We start from the raw sequence: 22,653 nt of genomic DNA on the forward strand, positions 1-22,653 counted from the left end.
CTTTGGTTCCCAGGTTTCATCATTTTTCCCTTTCCTATTGTTTCTTTCACTTTGCGTGGTACAATTATACATTTTGAGTGCATATACATAGCAACAGACATTCTAAAGGTTACAGTGTGATCACTTTTATCTATAAACCCTCCTTCCCAGAGCTAGCCCAGCTATTATTTTGAAACAAAGTGAGATTTTACTGTGGAGAAGCTAAATAAGGGAATCCTAACTGTAGTATATTTAAGTTTTCCAACTTTTTATGTGATCAGAATTAGTGGAAAGGCTATTAAGTCATCACAGATCTTCAAGATGCTTTTTGCTAGTAGCACATATTTTCAGCAAATATAGGAAATAAGTTTTTCTACATCACAGGGGAATTTTAAGAGATTTCATAAGTTTACTATGAACACAAAAAGTTATTCTATTTTAATAATTTTTCAACATTTCCTTTTATATAGGTAGCTTCTCCTCCAAAATTGCAATCACTGTGCTGATTTTATTAGCTTTTCATTTGTTCATCCTTGCATTAAGACATTACATTTCAGATTTTTTTCAGTGCTTGGTTTTTTAGTTTAGCGAAAGCGTTCATTACTAATATGGTTATTGCAGTCTTTTTTTCCTTGGTTAGTTGTTGTTTGGGCATGATGTAGCTCATTTTATCCCCATTAAATTTCAAATTTTTAGGCTTTTAAAATTATATTAGCTAAAAGTTAAAGAGTTGTTTTCTTTTGTATTTTTCTCTCCCAAAATTTAGAATTGTTACTAATACATTTTAAGAATTAAAATATTTATTTCCCATTTGAAAACTCTCAAAAATATCTTAGTGTATAGCATTTTCAACAATGACATTATAATCACCTTTATTTTTCTAAAGATACATTGTTTAAACTCAACATATTACAAGGGTGCACTTCATAATAAAAATGCATGAAGACAAATAATCTTTTACCTATATACAAAGGTAGATTTTAATGGTAAATAAAGCATAAGAGATCTGCAGAATCTAAATTACTTTGAAGCAGTTTTACAATCAATAACCATCATTCTGGCACTGAACAAATTTGAAACCTGTCTTTTTTAAATATCCAAAACATAATGCAATAAAAATAATATTTCATTAGCAAGAGTTTATTAAAATTTTTAAAAATTATTATTGCTTGTGTGTTTCAGGAACTGAGGCAAATTCTCAGCATTCAAAGGTAAAGAAGAATATTGAACTAAAAATATCCTTAACAAGTTTCAATACAGAAGCAGTCAATATACTTCAGAATATTTAGAATTTGCAACTGAAAGGAGACCATACAATCCCTTATCAACTTACAAATAATCCCTCATCAACTTACAAATAAGTAAACTGATGTTCAGAAGATATTAAGCAAATGAGCAAGGTTATACTCCTAGAAAATGATGAGTTGGAAAGAAAATGTTCTCTTTGATATCTGTGGAGATTTTCCTGCTATGTACCAAAACTGAATCAAGAATTTGTTCATTATATGCATATTTTTGTAATAATCTGAGAGCTAGGCAAAATGTATAGAATGTATTTCTAAACAATTGTTGGAAGGGCACCCTTGAAATGCAAAATTTCTAATTGTTCAGGGAGTTTTGAATTTAAGTGATCTATCTTCTACTAAGTTGTCTATAAATGCATCACTATTAATCTCCATCAAATAACATGTAAGTGATATCATTAAAACCTGTTAATTGTTAGAGCTTAGTAAGGCTTGTTTCCTAATCAAAATGGTTTAATAAAGCTTCACACTATGGCTTTTAGAAAAAAAAACCACTAAGAAATATGAATGTGTGATAAACTTCCATATCTACACCATCTGCCTATCTCCTTCACCATATGTCACTCTATTAATTGCTAATATCATCCTTATTATGCATCATTTCATCTGTAAGAATGTTCCACAAAACTAAGAAGGCATCAACAACTACAGAAAAACACCTGCTATATGCATTTCTGGCTGATAAATTTCAGCAGGTTCTGATATGTTCTTGGGCAAAATTTTCTAATTACCTTTGCATAACAGGAAGCCTACTAGAGCAACTTTCTGTAGTTGCAATGATCTTATTACTACCTTCTCAAACTGTTGGTTACAATTAATTAAATCTTCCTATAATATTTCTTAAACTATTATAGCAGCTACTGTATGTATAAAAATATGGGTGCAGTGGGTCACTGAGCTAAACACTGAGAAGAGGAATAATATATAAGAGGGAATTTGTAACATATGTAAAATAATTTTGAAAAAGTTAAGACCCTGAGCTTTTAATAAACATGAGTTAGTGAGGGTCGCAGCTCTTACGTTTGACCAGTAGTTGTCTATCATATAACCTGTACACCCATTTTTCCATTGTTTATAAAGAAAGGAATTGAACCTCATTTAGATTGTTTTATTCTATCAACAGTAATGGATGGGTAGACCATATTGATAACTGTCCTCTTTGGCAACAGCTGGAACAGATCCATTCAAAATTCGAACACTTTAGAGGCATTGATTATTTTGTTCTTTTTGAGGTGGCTTTTGTTGAAGAAGCAAGTCTACTGTCCATGAAATGATTAGGGAGCATTGCCAAACAAAATAAAATTAAATGCTATATTGTGTGGCAAAGACAGTAATTGTAAAGTAATTTTGAAGATGAGGAAATAAGGGAATATTGAAATAGGAAAGAATTTTTGTAGGAGGTGAAAACTGAACAAGACCTGGAGAGGTTGGCTTGGTCATTCAGGAACAGGCTAGACATATATGAATATCTAGGTGGCAATTCTGTTTATTATTGAGACATTGGGATAAACTTTTGGTACAAGTTAAAAAAAAAGTTGCTTAAAGGCAAATCATGGGTGATTTTGGAAATCAAAAGAGTTAACAATCGGCAACATCAGCAACTGCTGCAGCAACACCACACCCACCACCAACACATTGTCTCCATCCATAAAGCGAGACTTTAATGGGATTAATCTGTCAGTAACAGGTGGGATAAATTGTACTCTAAATGAAAATAAAAGTGATAGTTGCCGTATTGGAATTGTAGAATAGTGACAATGGGAATGGAAGTTTAGGAGTGCTTCTAGACATATTTCAAACCAGGAGATACATAAGATAACCTCTCCAATTTTATCTCACTCTACATCCTTTCATATAACTGACCAAACTGATTCCCCAGATGTGTCAATTCACATTGTGATTGCCCATGATACATTCTCTACATTTGAAATGACTTTCACATCCATCTTCCTCTGCCTATATCCACAATAATTTCCAAGTTCTGCCCACATATTATTTTCTCCAACTCAACGGCCATTTCCAAACATGGAAATAATCTTCCTCATCTGAATTTTGCAGAGGCTTGCACTAACTTGTAAACAAGTCTATTATATATTATCTAGTTTTGTGTTTACGCCTTATAAATCAATACAAAATAATAAAAATAATTTTATACTCTATATCACATATGGTACATAATCTAGAATACCTACTCATGTTCATAAGTGTTGAATGAATAAAAATAAATTGATCAGTACAACAATAAATGAATAATAACAATTTCATGCTTTTTGAATAAAGAAATTAAAAGGTGATGTCATGATTTTTATGGTTGTTTTTAGTATTTTCCCATTTCATTGTCTTCTTTTCTCATCCTCCCTTAATTACCCATTTCATTAATCCCATGAGTGGTTTTTGCCCTTGTAACTTAACGGACTTTGATTACTTGGTACCATCCTAATAAACAGATTAAAATTTGCCATTTTTTTCTTCAGTCTATTATTATTAACTATTTTAAATGTTTCCGCATTATCAAAATTATCAATGCTCAACCACATACTGTTTCTTTAAGTATCAGGAAGGTCTAAAATGAACATTCTACACATCTTCAACACATAAGGCTACTTTTTGCAAAAGCTCCAGCTTTTGGATATCTACTGCATATCCAACAAGGGAATAATTGTTTTCACCACTGTAAACTGGCAAATACTTTGTATACATAACCCATCTATGGAATAAGAATTGTCTCTGTTTGTGTAAAAAATATTAATATTAATTTATAAACTGCTCTTTTAATTCATAATTTGCTGTCTGTGTGAACTTTTAATCCCTTTAAAAATCACCATTTCTTGATTGCTCAACCATGCAATACACAGACAGAAGCTATGTTAATAATCTCTCAAAGGTGCAGTGCACTGATACTGCAATTTATGCTGTTGTCTGGAAAAAGCATATTTATTCTGTCCAAGAACCCATGAGACATGAGAACTACTCTTTGTCCAGACTCACAGTAGTCATTTTAAAACTTCAATTACTATTTCAGCATGTTCCCTCCATTACTGTTTCCACTACCACCGCCAGTAATTTCTAGCAACAAAATGGACTTTGTAAACCATACACATACGTGCCTTGCATGCAATGAGCAAATGCAGCTATGTCTAATATCTGCAAAATAAAATGTAAATTTAAATGAAATAATATCAACATATGAATCTTGAACATGTGCTTTTTTTATACTTCCTATATAATAATTGTTGAATATGAATACATATGTTATATATATAACATAATGTATCTTGCAATCTAAAAAGTCCAATCATACATTAATATTCAACAAATAGTTCTTGAAATTCAAGTCAGTAGAGAGCTGCTCTTTGTGCCATGGGGTTTATAAAAAAATAACAATGTAATATAACACCTTATTTTTGCCTTTGAACAATTTACTATCATAAGTATGATTCATCTTTTTAATCAAAATGAGAGTCTTGAATGAACAAAGATGCTATGTAGTCTCAATCTTACTTTATGTAGATCTTAAATTCCATGATCTGGCTATAACTTCTGGTGTGAGATTTTGTTCCTACATTAACATTAATCTCCTTTTCTCTGTCATCTATTTTCACATCCATTTTTGCTAACAAAAATGCACATATCTAATTTATGTGACATTGAAGTAGGATATTTGAAACATATCATTTTGAAGCCATGATGTTCACTATATTGCTCTTTATGGCTATAATTTCATCTTGAGTGAAGGACACAAGAAATCAGCCTTGTGTAATCAGTAAAATAGAACATTTTACTGTTCTATTTACTGCCATGACATTCATGAAAGTAACCCTTACAAAATGTATTATTCATTATTCACTTTATAAGAAAATATGAGATACTGTATGCTTCTTTCTAAGCTATAAAAAAGTGTGCCTTTCTCGTATCATAGGAATACTTGAATTTTATAGACAATGTTTTTTGGGTGTAAACTGGTCAAGTTTCTTTATATGTTTGGCAGCTATACTATTTAAAGAGAAGAAGAGCTAGAGAGAACTCGAGTACAGAGACACAGAAAAATGCAGAAACACCATTATTAAAAATAATAACCACCAGAACAGCAAACAAGCCATCAGAAATGCCAGTACGACATGATGAGGTATTCATTTTCAAACACAGTTTTATAAAGTTTAGAAAGAAGGAGGCTTATTTAATTTATGTGGAAATAGTTCATCTGAGGAAAGGTGATGCATGTGCTAGCTAGGATAAAGGAGGGGGGAAAGATTAGTTTTCATGATTAACAGTTAAATTGACACAACAGTTTAATGAATTAAAAAAGTTGATGTTTGTTCCTACAAGTGGTCACAAGCAGTTAAAGAAAAGAAAAAGGTAAGCAAGTGGAATAGATGGCAAAGAAACAGTCAGAAGGTGAAGAAGGAGTATAATAATATAGATATAACATCATTTAATTATATTCATATTTTTAAACATTTATCTCAATGAGATAATAGTTCTTTCTATACTCTGTCACAAGTCAGTGACAGATATTTAAATTTGAGGTGTAGATTTTAATTCTACTGGGAGGAATTATTTGAAATCAGACTGACCTCAATGATATGGTTCTTGCAAACCTTGATGTTTATGTCTAATGATATTGGCATATCTGTTAGTTTTTTTAGTATTTAAAGATGATGATATTTACACTATGGGTAGTCAAATTGACTTATAATCAGGTGTTTTGCACTGTGAATTACTTATTAAAACTCAACTACAAAGTCAGATGATTTTAATACATTTGAACTCCCATGTTAAAAATAAAAAGGTACCCCAGTTGGTTGTGTTAGTGCCTTTCTTTATTTTCTAAGTAGCTGTACAAAATGTCACTTGCCTTTCATAATATTTTCTTCTATATTTAAAATTGTCCTCAATGAGTTTTGTCCAGTCAATATTTTGCCATATATATATATATATACACACACACACACACACACACGCACATATACACATACTGGTATTTATATATATATATGTACACACATACGCGCGCGCGCACACACACACACACACACACACACACACACACACACATATATATACCTCCAGTAATTCCAGATAAGATATATATACATATGTATATCTTACATATATATACACACATGCAGATAATATAAGATATATATTTATATCTTATTTGGAATTATTGATAATGTGACATATAAAGCCAGAGAACTAACTGGTTTGTTCTAGATTAAATTAACTAACTGTAGAACCTGTGCTCTACCTTGACTGCTACCAAGTATTGTAGACACGGACACATAAGCAATTCAAATGGCAAACTATGCAAGTGGAGAAGAAATTACGGCTTTAAAATATCTGTATCATTGCCTATACAGACAGGGTAATTGTGATTTTCAAAAAATGCCGACAATGTTTCCAGAGTCTTGTATTACATACTTTATTCTTCAGTCTATGTTGTATGATTATTAATTGGAAATTCCTTGGGAACCTAATAGATTGATTCACATTTTGCAGATTTTCTATAAATATCAATAAATATATGAGCACAATCTTTCCTTAAAGATTATATTACAATTCAAAGACTTAATTGCAACTTAATTACAATGAAATAAAGGTTAAACTATTAAAATGTGTTCAGAGGGCATTATTATAAAACATTACCTTTACACACAGGCCTGTGATCACTCCAAGCAGCAAAAACTTCAGCTATCCGTTGACAGGTGATGCTCTTTGCGCCCTGTAGGACATAATCTTCATCACAAGAGAACTGCACAGTTGATCCAAGGCTAAAGTTAAATAAAAGAGAAAAAATATGATAAGAAAGATGCAACATAATAACTAGGCTTCACTTCTGCTGGCAATATCCAATAGGTCAAATATGTACTATAGTGACAAAAAGTATTTTGGAAAACAAAATGTGAAAGTATGACTTGTAGAAATGTAAAGCTATCATCAAATTTAATCATCTTGTTAATAGATGTAGAACGAAGGTCAAATAATTCACTAAGTTTACCATGCTAAGTAGATGGTAAATGTGAATCAAAATGTGGCTATTCTGACTTGAATTCCAGTACAGTGCTTGTGTTCATATCATATTACGGTGTTTTTCTGGCATGTATTTACATGTGTATGTTTGCAGATGTGTCTCTACATGTGTATGCATTTACACATGCATTTGTGTCTATAAACATGCATTTAATGTATTTAGAGATGCAAAATTGTACTGATTGATTTTCATAAGGTGTTTTTTTCTAAAAATATTTTAAATTTTTGTGGGTATATAGTGGGTGTATATATTTATGGGGTACCTAAGATGTTTTCATGAAGTCATGCAATACGAAATAATCAGGGAGAATGAGGTATTTATCCCCCTCATGAATTTATCCTTTGTGTTACAAAAAATACCATTACATTCTTTTGGTTATTTTGAACTATATGATTAAGTTATTATTGACTATAGCTATCTTGTTATGCTATCAAATAGTAGGTCTTTTTCATTCTTTCTATTTCTTTTTTTACCCATTAACCATACCCCTCTCCCTCCTAGCCGCCCCCACATCCCCCACTAACCTTCCCAGCCTCTGGTAACCATTATTCTAATCTCTATATCCATGTTTAATTGTTTTGATTTTTAGATCCCTCAGGTAAGTGAGAACATGTGATATTTGTCTTTCTGTGCCTGGCTCAATTCGCATAACAATCTCCAGTTCCACCCACGTTGTTGCAAATGACAGGGCTCCATACATTTTATGGCTAAATAGTCCCTTAACATGGCATAAAAAGTCCTACATGTCATCTCTCACTCATTGTGACACCTGATCAACATCTCTAGAAGTTAATCCGTATAACCAAAGAGAGATTATATTTACAGTCTTCTTAGACCTCGTCATGACTCCAAGTTTTATTTAGACTACTCTTAGAGCTTGAGCAACCTTAAAAGTTTACATAACGGTCAATTATCTGCCTTTTCCTTCTTTCTCATCTCAATAAACGAAAACTCCATTCTTCAAGTTGCTAAGGCCAAAAACCTTACAGTTATTCTTAACTCATCTTTCTGTCTTGCATTTCACAAGCACTCCATCAGGAAAATCCTGTCAGCAACACATTAGAAATCCAGAATCTAACATTTTTCAGCCCTACAGTGTTAATAGGAATCTGAGCCACAATTTCTCATTCATATGATTGCAATAGTCCTTCTTGCTATGTTGTTAGTTTTTCCTCTTTCTGTTCTTGCCTCCCTGCAATCTGTTCTTAAATAGTATCCAGAGCAAACTTTTCAAAGGTTAGTTCAAATTATATCACTTTTGTACTTTCAAATTTCCCATCCCTGTTTCACTCAGAATAAAGGATCACCTGTTTCACTCATACTAAAGAGATTGCCCTTAAAATTGCCGATGTGATTTGGTCTCTGCTAATTTGCAGGATTAATTTCCTATGCTTTCTCCTTCCATGTCTGTTCTTTAGATTTATCGACTTCCTTGCTCTGGCTTGAAGATATTAAGCATGTGCCTCCCTCAGGGTCTTTACACTTGCTGTTATATCAATCTGGAAAACCATTTCTTCAGAAGTCCTGTATCTCCCATTCTCAATTGTTCTGGTTTCTCCTCGCATGATATTTTATCCATAAGGCCCTCCCTTACTGCTCTGTGTAAAACAGCTACGCCTATTCCATTATCTTCTTCCATGTTATTTCCTATATACTATCTAATACACTGTTTATTTGTCTCCCTGCTTCCACTAAGAAAACCTCAAGTCTCTTATCTATTTTGTTTCCCAACATGTCAAACATTTCCAAAAGTATTGTAAGTTTATGTATAGATTTTAAACAGTGATTAAAGCTATCTTTTGCAGATTTATTGGTTGCTATCATATAAGACTGTCTAATGCACTCAGATATGTCCTTATCCCTATAACTGGAAAAATATTCTCTGTCAGGATACTCTCTCAAGGTTAATTAAATTTTTATAATCCATGGCACCCACTATTTCCCATTGCCTGCTGCATTTGCTGTGTTCAAGAAAGAGCAAGAAAAATACTAATGTGATTGGAGCACAGAAAATAAAGAGAGGGGTATGTGAAATTAAGTCAAGGAAGCAATTAGGGGTTGTGGTTAGATTGGTTACAACTTTCTAGGCCATGATAAGGATTTTGACCCTCATTCTGAGAGAATTGGGCAGTTGTTACAGGGGTTTAAGACAAGTGAATACTATGCTTTAAAATGAACTCATTGGTTTCTGAGTGAAGGATACAATTTAAGCGGCCAAAGATAGAAGCAAAGAGTTTAGTTAACAAGCTGTCACGGAAATCCGAGTTTTCATGGAGATGTTATGATGGCAACAAGTATTAGAAAAGTAGTAGCTACAAGCTAATGATGGTAAAAACTTTAGGGGATGGAGAAAGAAGGCCCAGTATAGGGCCTGGCCCATAGGATTCATTTAATTACTATTTTCTCACTAACATAATAAATTAATGATCTATCATGGTTACCATATTTGTCACAGATGATTATGATATTCTAGTTCTAACCAGGCTCTTCTTGCTAAAAGTAATAAATGACATCTTGTTTAAGTGATAGGAGTTTGAGCATGTTTCTTTTGATTATAGAAAATTAATTCACTTAGCGTGGAGACAGGAAATTGATAATAATAATAATTATAATTATTATAAAATAATAAATAACTGTTTTGCTACTATACTAAAGATTACCAGTAATGGTCTCTGAAGCTTCTATACTTATTTTTCCCCTACAGATTAGCCATCTCAACATGTTCTTCTCCCCTTAATACACTGGGAAAAGTAGTTTAGAGTAGTGGTGAACAGTTTAAGCTACAGAATCACAGGTATCTCCTTTCAAATACTAACTTTGCCCTAAACTTCAGCTTTCTCGTCTGTTGTGATAAAGTAATGAAATATTATTTATAAACTACACAGTGTCTATCACATATCAAGCACTCAGTTATTTCCCTCAGTTAGATTAAAATGAAGTCCTCATAGTCTAGGGGTTCTTGTCTTTTAAAGTCATTTTGAGTATCTCTGTATTCCTCCATTTGTCCCAACTTTAAAATTTCATGTCATAATTATATTTAAGTTCTGGTGGGGGAAATTTATTTTTGTCCATTTATAAAGTTTATATTCTCACATCCCATATCTCCCTAACATGAACCTTATGTTCCAAATACCATTAACAGTAATTTACTTTTTCTCATACCTTTGGTCTTTCTACAATGTCTACTCTGCCAGGAATTCTCATTTTCCTCATTTAGCTTAATCATTATTAAGATTTGATTTTAATTTTAGGTTACACATGAAGCTCTTATTAATTTATCCATTAAGAATTAAATATTTTCCTCTGGGAGGCCAAGGAGGGAGGATTACGAGGTCAGGAGATCGAGACCATCCTGGCTAACACGGTGAGACCCCGTCTCTACTAAAAATAAAAATAAAAAAATTAACCCAGCGTGTTGGCGGGCACCTGTAGTCCCAGCTACTGGGGAGGCTGAGGCAGGAGAATGGAGTGAACCCGGGAAGTGGAACTTGCAGTGAGCTGAGATCGCGCTACTGCACTCGACAGAGGGAGACGCCATCTCAAAAAAAAAAAATTAAATATTTTCATCTCTTTGTGCATTGCTTTCCCATACCTCAGTAGAACAATTGCTACAATGATTTAGGGGCTTAAGTTAAGATGGAGCAGTAAGAGAGAGAAATAGTGTAAAGATAAAGAAGGTAGGAAGAAAGGAGCCTTCTCACCTAGATGAGAGGACCATTTTCTACCTTACTATTTTATCTTAAGTTAGCTTATAAGATGCCATCTAAATGCATCATATATGACATTTTGGCCACATGGCCCATGGATGTCCTCTGATTTAGATTTTCTAGGTCTGCTCCTGTTTATGCTGCAGGAGGAGAGGGAATGGGATATTTTAAAATGCAGATTTAGAATCCAAACTGCCAAGATGGCAAATATTTCTAATTACTCATTTGTATTGTATAAGCCATTAATTTCTTCCCCACTAATGAAGAAAAGCATCTATATTGGGCATTTGCAAACATCTCCATCCAGGATCACAGCTACACTTCAACATATTCTAGACCAAAAATATAAAAGTGCAAAACAACACAGAGAGGACAGAAGTCAATGAAATAAGTAGCCTTTCCAGTAAAATCCAGGCTCAATCATCAGGAAATGGATATCTTAAACAAATGCACTGTGCTTTCACTGTATTAACTGTTTTAATATTTGAGTCAAACTTAAGAAAAACTTACACTCATTAAATATGTGTGTGTGTGTGTGTGAGCGTGTGTGTGTTTGTGTGTGTGTATGCATTCCTAGGAAAGTATTCAGTTACCATGAAATGACAAGGAGGACAAGCTGTATCCACTGAAATTCATCTGTCACCACAGAAGAGATGTCTGCCCTACCCAGCCAAATAAAACTTTCCACTTTAATAAGTTATTCATTCTGATACAACATTTCAAAACAAATGGCTGAGCACATTTTTAATTTGAAAGTACCAAGTCATAAGGCAAATGATATATAATGATATTGTTTGAAAAACTAGAGTTGACCTTCTCATGATTATGCTGGTCAATGTTTAAGTGCTGTCATCTTTTTAAAAATGATACTTATTTTGCAAAAACACCCTATAATATCAAAGCTGTCAGTAAGAGAAGATATGAGGTTTTTCAAAATACACAAATTTTACCTGTGTTGGCCCAAGATAGTGAATCTATAATTTTATTTACAATCAAATAGACAGGATATGAACAAATACAGAAATATGGAAGGACAGATAATAGTGCTTGGGTCATAGAAGAGGATCTAAAAAAAAAGCAGAGGAGGAATGAATCTTGACAGCATTACATCAAGAGTAAATTTGTCTGCACTTTTGTTGTTATTATTTTTTGGTCTATTTAAAAAGGTCTAGACAATTTCCTGACAGATGCAGAAATTTAACCCTAAGTAGCAGATGCATATTTTTCAAAATTATCACTGTACAAATAGAAATTGTCCAGGCATGACAGATGATCTAAAAATTAAAGTATCTGCAAACCATTTCTGTAGCAAAAAAATCAAAACACTAAACGTCAAGAAAATAACTATTACCAAAATGACCACAATAATGCTGATTTAATATCTTTAAAAGTCTAATTATTCTCTAAATGTCTTTAAACTAGCAATTTCAAAAATGAGTAATTGCACATTAGAATATCTAAGGTTATTTTACAATATGAGATTTTCTGTTTTAAAATTGTACAAGTACGTATTGCAGAAATTTTGAAAATTAAGATTAGCAAAAAAAAAGTGAAAACCACTTAAGCTCTACACTGTTAAAGGTACTTTTGAGTCTAATTCCAAAATTCTAGTTCTTCTCAAATTTGAATTATTTCTTTCTTATTTCCTTCTTGTAAAATTGGAGCAAGTGAAGCTCCTTATAGAGGGGTCATTCCTCCAACTAGTTTGGGATTCAATCCACCCCGCCTTGTCATTACTTGTACTATTAATTATTCCTTCTTTCTCTTGAATATTCAACTCTCATTTTAAGCTGGTAGTAAAAGTGATGGTATTAATCTGTTTATTTGTAAGTCATAAAAATTAAATGTTAATAAACTCTATCCAAAGGGATGATAAATTACTTTACTTTCAAAATATTTTGTTTCTGACTCTAAGTTACATTGATAAGCTTTGTTAGATATTACAAAGTATTTCATCTCATACCAAAACTTTTCTTCAAAACATAATGAATACCATGTTTTTTTATACCTATTGCCTATTTCCTTGACCTTATAAAATTAATGTCATTCTTTTGCAGAAATAATGTCATCCAAACCAAGACTATGTCCGATACAAAGAGAATTCAATTCAGCATTCACACACTTTCATATTTCTTTACACTGTTGGTTATAATCAGTCTGGATATTGTTACTGGGTATCTTGCTTTGTGGAATGCTTAAGGTCACTCACTACCTCATTCAATATTTATGCCAACTACTGCCCTATTTAATAACCCCAAGCTTGGTCATTTGTGTACAATTTCAAGTATACTAGAAAGATAATAATGCTACCTGTCTTTGCCCCTCCAATACTCAGCTTCAGATAAATTCTATCACTAGGAGTACATCCTTCTTCTTGTAGATTTACTTCCTCTACTTATATACTTCTATGAAACATAAAACAGTATACTCAAAAATAGTGTAATTCCAAAAGAAGCAATATTCTGGAAAAAGGAAAAATCCCAAAAGAAATACATTGTTCAGAGAGAAACGCAAAAGCCCTAGGCAAGTGCATTAGTTAATATAGATTTTCATATGACAACAGCTAGTTAAATAGCTAACCAAGCTAAAAGCAAATGTCACAGAAAAAGTTATAATTTCAAACCTTCAAGAGAAAGCATACTGATTATTATCATAGAGTCCTTTTCGTTAACCTCCAAAATTAACTGTGGTGAACTCCTCAGAATCCTCAAAAATCCTTGCTATAATACCCAATAAGATTTCAAGATTGTGATGTTCCCCTTCCTGTGTCCATGTGATCTCACTGTTCAATTCCCACCTATGAGTGAGAATATGTGGTGTTTGGTTTTTTGTTCTTGCGATAGTTTACTGAGAATGATGATTTCCAATTTCATCCATGTCCCTACAAAGGACATGAACTCATCATTTTTTATGGCTGCATAGTATTCCATGGTGTATATGTGCCACATTTTCTTAATCCAGTCTATCATTGTTGGACATTTGGGTTGGTTCCAAGTCTTTGCTATTGTGAATAATGCCGCAATAAACATACATGTGCATGTGTCTTTATAGCAGCATGATTTATAGTCCTTTGGGTATATACCCACTAATGGCATGGCTGGGTCAAATGGTATTTCTAGTTCTAGATCCCTGAGGAATCGCCACACTGACTTCCACAATGGTTGAACTAGTTTACAGTCCCACCAACAGTGTAAAAGTGTTCCTATTTCTCCACATCCTCTCCAGCACCTGTTGTTTCCTGACTTTTTAATGATTGCCATTCTAACTGGTGTGAGATGGTATCTCATTGTGGTTTTGATTTGCATTTCTCTGATGGCCAGTGATGGTGAGCATTTTCTCATGTGTTTTTTGGCTGCATAAATGTCTTCTTTTGAGAAGTGTCTGTTCATGTCCTTCGCCCACTTTTTGATGGGGTTGTTTGTTTTTTCTTGTAAATTTGTTTGAGTTCATTGTAGATTCTGGATATTAGCCCTTTGTCAGATGAGTAGGTTGCGAAAATTTTCTCCCATGGGGTGGGGGGAGGGGGGAGGGATAGCATTGGGAGATATACCTAATGCTAGATGACGAGTTAGTGGGTGCAGCACACCAGCATGGCACATGTATGCGTATGTAACTAACCTGCACAATGTGCACATGTACCCTAAAACTTAAAGCATAATAAAAAAAAAATTAAAAAAAAAAGATTTCAAGATTTTAAATTTAGTACAACTATTAAAAATGTGAGAGCTGAAGATTTTATTTTTATTTTGATAATTCTTTTTATGGAGACTAAGAGATAAATACTTGTCACTATATGATGTTTTTATTCTGCTTTGCTTTATCTCTTATATATAACACTCAATAGGTCAGATTTTGTGTCTTAATTAAACAATTTTTAATAGATCTTCAATTCTACATAAGCACAATATTTTTATATAACAAGTGAAGTATGGTACAGATCCATAACTGTGTTATAAAGTAAGAAAAGGCACATAGTAGGATAATGATATACTTTGATAGATAAAAGGCAATAAAATAAAGTGCTTTTGAAGGTTACTAGTAGAATGCGTTAGAAAGTAACATGAAAATGTTCAGAAAAATTACAATATACATACACTTAAGTGGCAAAATATAATCTAATTAAAAGCTTAAATAATTTTTTTTCTGTGACAGAAATGTTTTTAAGACATGAGTTAAAATCATTTGAATATAATAAAGCTTTCAAATAGTATTAAATGAAGATCTATGTTTGGGATCATTTTTGTTGGTATGATCATAGGAAAGAAAGTGGTTAAGATTATAAAGTAGAACTTGGTTATACAATCCCTTCAAATAAAAAAGTAAAATAAAATTAGTGTGAGAGCTAATAAATGAAATAATTTAATGCTATATTGTTTAGGTTGGTAAGCTTCCTAATGATTTCCACAACATGCTATTTTGAAGTTCACATGTAGGCATATTCATACAATACGCCTCTTTAAGCCATAAGGCAAGGTTAACATCTCATTCTTGTGACATTAACTTTAACTGTTCCCATTGCTATATCACTCCCTGTGTTCTCATCCCTATACTACTATCAGACAGCAATAAACTAAATAATGTAATGAAGATAAACCTATTTGTATCTAATTTTTCCAGGCTTATATTATATTAAACTTTGATCTCTTAATAGTGGCAACACATTAATTGTATTTTAAAAAGCCCCAGAAGACTGTGGCTCTATATTTAAGAACAGCTGTCAGAGAGAAATAAACCAGTTGAAGTAGAGGTTTAAATAGTTAAAGTCAAATCCACCTCAGAGTAGGGAAACACTATAGAGGCATAGATGAACTGAGCTTTGTGATGCACAATGTTATAAATTATCCAAAATGATCAAGTTTATTTTTAATCCTAATATAAATTATTAAAAGAATATTAAAAATTTATATTTGAATAGAGCATTCTAGTTTACAAAGTACTTTCCTCTATAAAATCCCATTTGATCTACTCTTGACGTTTTTACCAGTTAATGTCATAGAAATTTGCAAGAGTAACCCACAAGGCACTTTGTGAATGATATTTAAAGTGCAAAGACCGATGTGCATAGCAACTACCTCATTGTCTGTGAACTGTTCAATCTTTTATACACTGGAAGGACCAGTTAGATTAAACACTGACTACCTATGTTTAATATTTACCCCTTGAATCCTATATGGAGGTGCTGACAAGGAATAATAAATTATTGCATATGTCAGTAATGTAAATTTAGAATATTAAGTTGCTATTGCCATATTAAGCCTATAATATAAAATCAACTTTTCCACATTCAATTTATCAGTATTATAGTCCACTGAGAAAAATTTTGAGTAGAATAAATTAGGTTACCTTTAGATGAGTTACAGCTGTCATATTCCATGAATCAATTAGCTTTTTATTAAAATAAATCTGCCAAAGCAAACATACCTTAAATACTTCATCATTTTTTTTATGTTGCTATGCCTCTTTCATGAATAAAATGTGAACTTAGAAGGTGGGGTACTTTGTTTTTAAATCATTTTCATTTAACATAATGACTATGCTATAAAGCACTTCCTCTAATCATAAAGATTAAACTATCCTGATTTAAACAACTTTGGAATTAATGTCTCTTCTTGCATTAGAAATGCCTTTCCAACACTCTCTTCAATAAATGGTGCTGGGAAAACTGGATATCCATTACAGAGGAATGAAACTAGACCTTTATTTCTCACCATATAAAAAATCAACTCAAAATGGATTAAAGACTTAAATGTAAAATCCGAAACTATAAAACTACTAAAAAAAAAAAAACTTAGGGAAAATGTTCTAGGGAACTTGTCTAGGAAAAGATTGTATGGTTAAAACTTCAAAATCACAGGAAACAAAAAGAAAAATAGACAAATGGGACTACAGTAAACCAGAAAGCTTTCACACAGCAAAGGAAAAATCAACAAAGTAAAAAGACAACCTGTTGAATAGAAGAAAATATTTACAAATTACTCCTCTGACAAGGGAGTAATATTCTGAATTTAAAAGGAAATCAAACAACTCAATAGCAATAATATAAATAATCCCATAAAAGTGGACAAAGGGTCTGAACTGACATTTCTTAAAGGAAGACATACAAATGGCAAACACGTATATGAAAAATGTTCAACATCACTAATCATCAGAGAAATGCAAATCAAAACCACAATCAGATATCATCTTACCACAGTTAGAAGGGCTATTACCATAAAGACCTAAAGTAACAAATGCTGGTGAGGATGCGGAGGAAAGGTAACTCTTACACACTGTTGGTGGAGATGTAAATTAGTACAGTCATTATGGGGGGCAGTATGAAGAGTTCTCAAAAAACTAAAAGTAGAACTACCATAAGAACCAGCAATCCCACCACTGGGTATTCATCCAAAGGAAAGGAAATCAGTCCTTTGGGATATCTGCATTCCCATGTTTATTGCAACACTATTCACAATAGCTGAGATATGAAATCAATCTAAGTGTCTATCAGCAGATGAATGGACAAATGTAGTGTGTATACACAATGGAATACTATTCAATCACAAAATGAATGAAATCCTATCATATGCAGCAACATGGACGGAACTTCAGATCACATTATTAAGTAAAATAAACCAGGCGCAGAAAGACAAAATATCACAAATTTTTATGCATATGTGCAAGCTAAAAATGTTCATCTCATAGACATAGAAAGTAGAAAGATAGTATTTTTAGTAGAGATGGGGTTTCACCATGTTAGCCAGGGTGGTCTCAGTCTCCTGACCTCATGATCCGCCTGCCTTGGCCTCCCAAAGTGCTGGGATTGCAGGCTACTTGGGAGGCTGAGGCAGAAGAATGGCATGAACCCAGAAGGCGGAGCTCGCAGTGAGGCGAGATTGTGCCACTGCACTCCAGCCTGGGAGACAGAGCGAGAAAAAAAAAAGAAAAAAGAAAAATAGTTACCAGAGGCTGGGAAGGGTGTGCAGTGTGTGTGTGCGTGGGAGGGGGTACAAAGAGAGGTTGGTTAATGGATACCTACAGTTAGATAGAAGGAATAATTTCAGTATTTGATAGCACAGTAGGGTGACTATAGTTAACAAGATATTGTATATTTGCATTTCAAAATAGCTATAAAAGAAGATTTTAAATGTTTCTAAGAGAAAGAAATGGTAAATGTTCAAGGTGATGGCTATCCAAAATACCCTGATTTGATCATTACACATTCTATGCATGTATCAAAATATCATGTGTTCCCCATAAACATGTACAAATATTACACATCAATAAAATATATAAAAGTATTTCTGGTAAAAACAAAAACAAAAATAAGAAATAGTGCTCTACTAAATGTTAGGCAAATTTAGTATCAGTTTTATAAAATCAAATCGTGGATTGGGGAGTTGGGAGTAACTGCAAGATGACCTCTGAGATTTTTTTTTCCAGCTATAAAATTCAAGAAGTCTCTAAGAATAGATATGGTGCTAAAATACAAATAGATAGCTGTATAAGATGTTATCAAGTGGTGTATAATGATAAAAATATCTCTATTATTCAGAATTGGGCTATAGATTCTCTTAACTCTAAAAGAAAATTAAGCCCCAAGCGTTCTATAATGGTATGAAATAGAATAGTTCAAATTTTTTACCAGTTTGTAATATGAGCTGGTTTAAAATGTTACAAATTTTACACCGAATTGTAATATCAGTTCTGCAAAGTATTACAATATACCTTACCATGATTGTTAGAAAAGACATGGTCTTATATTTGCTGTCTTTCCACCATCTCTTCACCATCTCTCCACCAAGTCCTAGGCCAGCTGGAGCCCATAATGCATTAAACAGTGGAAATAGCAATGGAGTGCATCACACTCTGATACTCTGAATCATAGATCAGAGAAGGGTTCTATATAACGATTTCTGAATAAGTCACAGTGAATGTGTAAACTGCTACCTTAAAGTTACTATTTATATTTGAGGAGTTAAAATTAGAATGACAAGAACTCTCATTATTTTACATTAAAAATAATTCGACATTTTTTTTATGGTCAAATTAGAACCCAGTAGGTTAGACTTAGCAAGTTCCAAAAGCCTGAGCTAGTGAGGGGGTAAAGACAGTTTTGCCGTGGGAATAGAAAGTTTACAAACTTTCTATTTCTAAGGGGAATCTAAAAAATACCACTAGCATCTAGTTGAGGAGAGCAGGCCCCACAGGTTGCAGACAGGCATACAGAAGTACACTAAAGGTCTGGGAAGATCAGCAACAACCTTTTATGAGTCACTGGGATATGAGCTAAGACTGTAAACTCTTGAAGGGAAAAATTACATCATATTCGTCCTTTTATCTAGGGTTTAGCCCAATGTCTGCAGTGGGTACACAGTGGGTATTGGCTGAGTACATGAGTGGAAGGAAGAACACACTAGGATAAGGCATACTAGTTTAAATGCAGTCATGATGCAGAGCCTGGAAAGCTTTGTGGATGTTACACATTGTAATTACAAATATCATGTTGTTTTCCTGGACTCTGACAGTGGTTGGAGAAGTAGCTAGTTCCTGCAACAAGTCTTAATAAAATTCAAAATAACAGTACCAGCATCTATTTTTTTATGGCATATTTTGCCCTCTATTCCTTACTGGCTAAAATTACAGTTCCCAAAGTATGTTGAGCTTTTTGGGTTGCTGAATAGAACACATAGGTTGCTACAGTATACTTTAAATTTTTGAAGGAAACACAGATATCCATCATGAATTGTGCAAACTACTAGCTTGAAGTAATTCAGTTTCAATATTATACAACTATTAATATATTCCTTTCAATGACATTGATGATGCTGGATTTTCAGTGGCTGCTCTGATGAAAAGCAAATATCATACCATTTTGCTGTGGAGCATAAAATGAGGGTGGTAACATAAAATCTGAGTCCAAGGTTTGAGAAATTGTGCAGTGCACAATGCTAAGTTTTTAGAACATAAATTCATAAGTTGCTTAGCCACAGCTACTAAACAGAAGTGTTAGGTATTTCTTTGGGCCTGGGAGCCTGGAAAAAAAAATTACTAAGACACTCGGGACACTGTGATGCAAAAATATTTGGGAACTTCTTGTGCTAAAACTTTGCACGTCACTCTGTGAATCTAGATGTATAGTGTGCAAATGTTTTCTTCCATTCTGTAGGCTGTCCCTTCATTATTGTTTCCTTTTCTGTGCAAAAGTTTTTATCTTGTGTAACCCTTTTTCTGATTTTGTTTTTTTGCCTGTGCTTTTGGGGTCATATCAAAAAATCATTGCCCAGACCAATGTCAGGAAGCTTATTTTCTAGGTTGTTTATAGTAGTTACATAGCTTTGGGCCTTATGTTAAATACCTAAATTTATTTTGAGTTGATTTTTGATGTGAGATAAGGGTCTAGTTTCATTCTTCCACACATGAATATCCAATTTTTCTGACACCATTTATTGAAGAAAGTGTCCTTTTCTTACGGCGTGTTCTTGGCACATTTGATGAAAATCAATCGGCTTTAAATGCATGAGTTTTTGCTGGCTTCTCTATTCTGTTCCATTGGTCTCTCCTTGTTTTAATGCCAATACTATGCTGTTTTGGATACTATAGTTTTGTAGTATATTCTGAAGTCAGACTGTATGATAGTTCCAGATTTGTTCTTTTGCTAAAAATTGCTTTGGCTATTTGAAATCTATTGTGCTTTCATGTGAATTTTAAGGTTTTTATTTTATTTTATTTTTGTATTTCTGTAGAGAATGTCATTGGTATTTTGTTTGAGAATGCACTGAATCTGTAGATTGCTATGGTTAGTATAGACACTTTTTTCATGAGCATGGGATATCTTTCTATTTATTTGTAACTTATTTAGTTTCTTTCATCAATATTTTATAGTTTTCAGTGTAGAAATCTCTCACCTTTTTTGTTAAATTTAGATATGTTTCAAAAACAGAAAAGATGCTATAATGACTGGATTAGAGTGGGAAATAAGAAGAATGATCCAAAATGAGCTCAATTATGAAAAAAAAAACAGGTTGTATGGGGATTTTTTTTAAGTATCAATTTATTCTAACTGCAAGGGGGAAGTCACTGAAGAATTTTAAGCAGAAAAGTGACGTGATTTGATATAGTTTTTAAAATATTGCTCTGTTTTGTGGTGAATGTATTACAGATGACAACAGCAGTAGAAGAGAGATGGTTTAGGATGTTTGAATGGTCTAAGTGAGAGATGATAGTGGCTTGCATTAGGAAGGTTTCAGTTGAAATGGAGAATATTGGATATTTTTAGAATATGCCTTGGAATAAAATCTCAAGTATGGGTAGAACTTCTTGATGGATTCAATATGGAGAGGTGCAACTAAGAGTAGTTACTAGTTTTACAAAGACTTTTATGAAAAAAATGCTAATATAGTCTGTTGTCACAGACTTCCTCGCTTCTGCTATTTCCACATTTAGTTTAACAGTGACTTTATATTTCCCTTCTTTCTTCTACCCCAAGTCTCTTGCCTCTGTCTTATTTTTTCTATCTTGCTTACCCTCAAAATATTCTCATTACTTGGACATCTCTTCTCCTTGTGTCTCATTCCCTAATTTCCTTCTCTTATTCCCATTTTACTTCTGTACCTATGATCCATGTCATTATATTAAATAATTAAAATCATATTGCTTCTTCACTTTGTCCAAGTCACAGCATTTACAACATAATAAGGATATTTTCTTTCACAAAATTTACATATACATAATAAAGCTGAAGGTCACTCCTATGGAAACTTAAGAATATTAAACAGACTAATAATTCAAATTTTGCAAGGAAGGGTCTGACTAATTTGACTTTTTGAATTTGCATATAGGTTTTCTTTATCTTTAATCGTGACACTAGAAGGAAGCCTTAGTATTCCTTTTTCCTATAACTTTTTTTCAAAAACACCCTTGTAATTAAAAATGTGTGGCATAAAATGTATTCAATGATCTCACTTTTATAGAACTGAAATTACTCTTGGTATACCCAAAATATTCTAACACTACTCAGGCAGAAATACTCAGTTTATCTAGAAATACTTTAATTCATCAAAATTATTCCCAAAATATACTCACACTACCCAGCCAGAAATAATTGGCTTATCTATAAATATTTGTATTGATCAAAATTATTTCCTAAATACGTCAATATATTTCTAAATATGTACATTTAAACTTTACTTCAATAAAATATTACCATAATTTAAACTACCTGTAGCCTCAATTGTCTTTTTATTTTTATTATTTTTTACATTAACATTGCAATTACAGCTTGTTTTCTCCCTCCAGCAATGAGGAGACCATGAAGGTAAAGTAGACAATCTATAGAGTGTAGAAAATGTGATAAGGTGTGCACAGGGTATTAGGCTTTGTTATTCATGTTATCTTCTTTTAAGTTTGCCTACCCAACTTGAGTATTTTTATAAGCCATATATTTTAAATGTCCTATCAGTTTGGATAACATAGCTGGAGGAGATTTCAAAAATCTAGTCCTATTCTTTCTTCTATATATTTATACAACTTGAAATATATTTTTTTTGTAAGAGCTAGTTTTTATATGGTAATAATGTACTGACAGTTTTGAGTCACAAGAATCAAAAGAACAGTTATGCTTTTATTACTCTTTGTTTTTGGACCTAGGTAATAA

General features: G+C 32.8%; 1 protein-coding gene across 9 annotated transcripts in view; it reads right to left on the bottom strand.

Annotated features, from left to right (window-relative positions):
* Window positions 1-22,653, bottom strand: part of CSMD3 (CUB and Sushi multiple domains 3) — a 1,214,012-nt gene that overhangs the window by 691,770 nt on the left and 499,589 nt on the right. For all 9 annotated transcript variants that reach the window (NM_001363185.1, XM_017013010.2, NM_052900.3 and 6 more), the window contains one exon: window positions 6,930-7,054. In NM_001363185.1, the coding sequence (NP_001350114.1) occupies window positions 6,930-7,054 (125 nt within the window). The remainder of the gene's footprint in view (window positions 1-6,929; window positions 7,055-22,653) is intronic.

Source organism: Homo sapiens, chromosome 8 (assembly GCF_000001405.40).
Source record: "Homo sapiens chromosome 8, GRCh38.p14 Primary Assembly".
NCBI classification, from domain to species: Eukaryota; Metazoa; Chordata; class Mammalia; order Primates; family Hominidae; genus Homo; species Homo sapiens.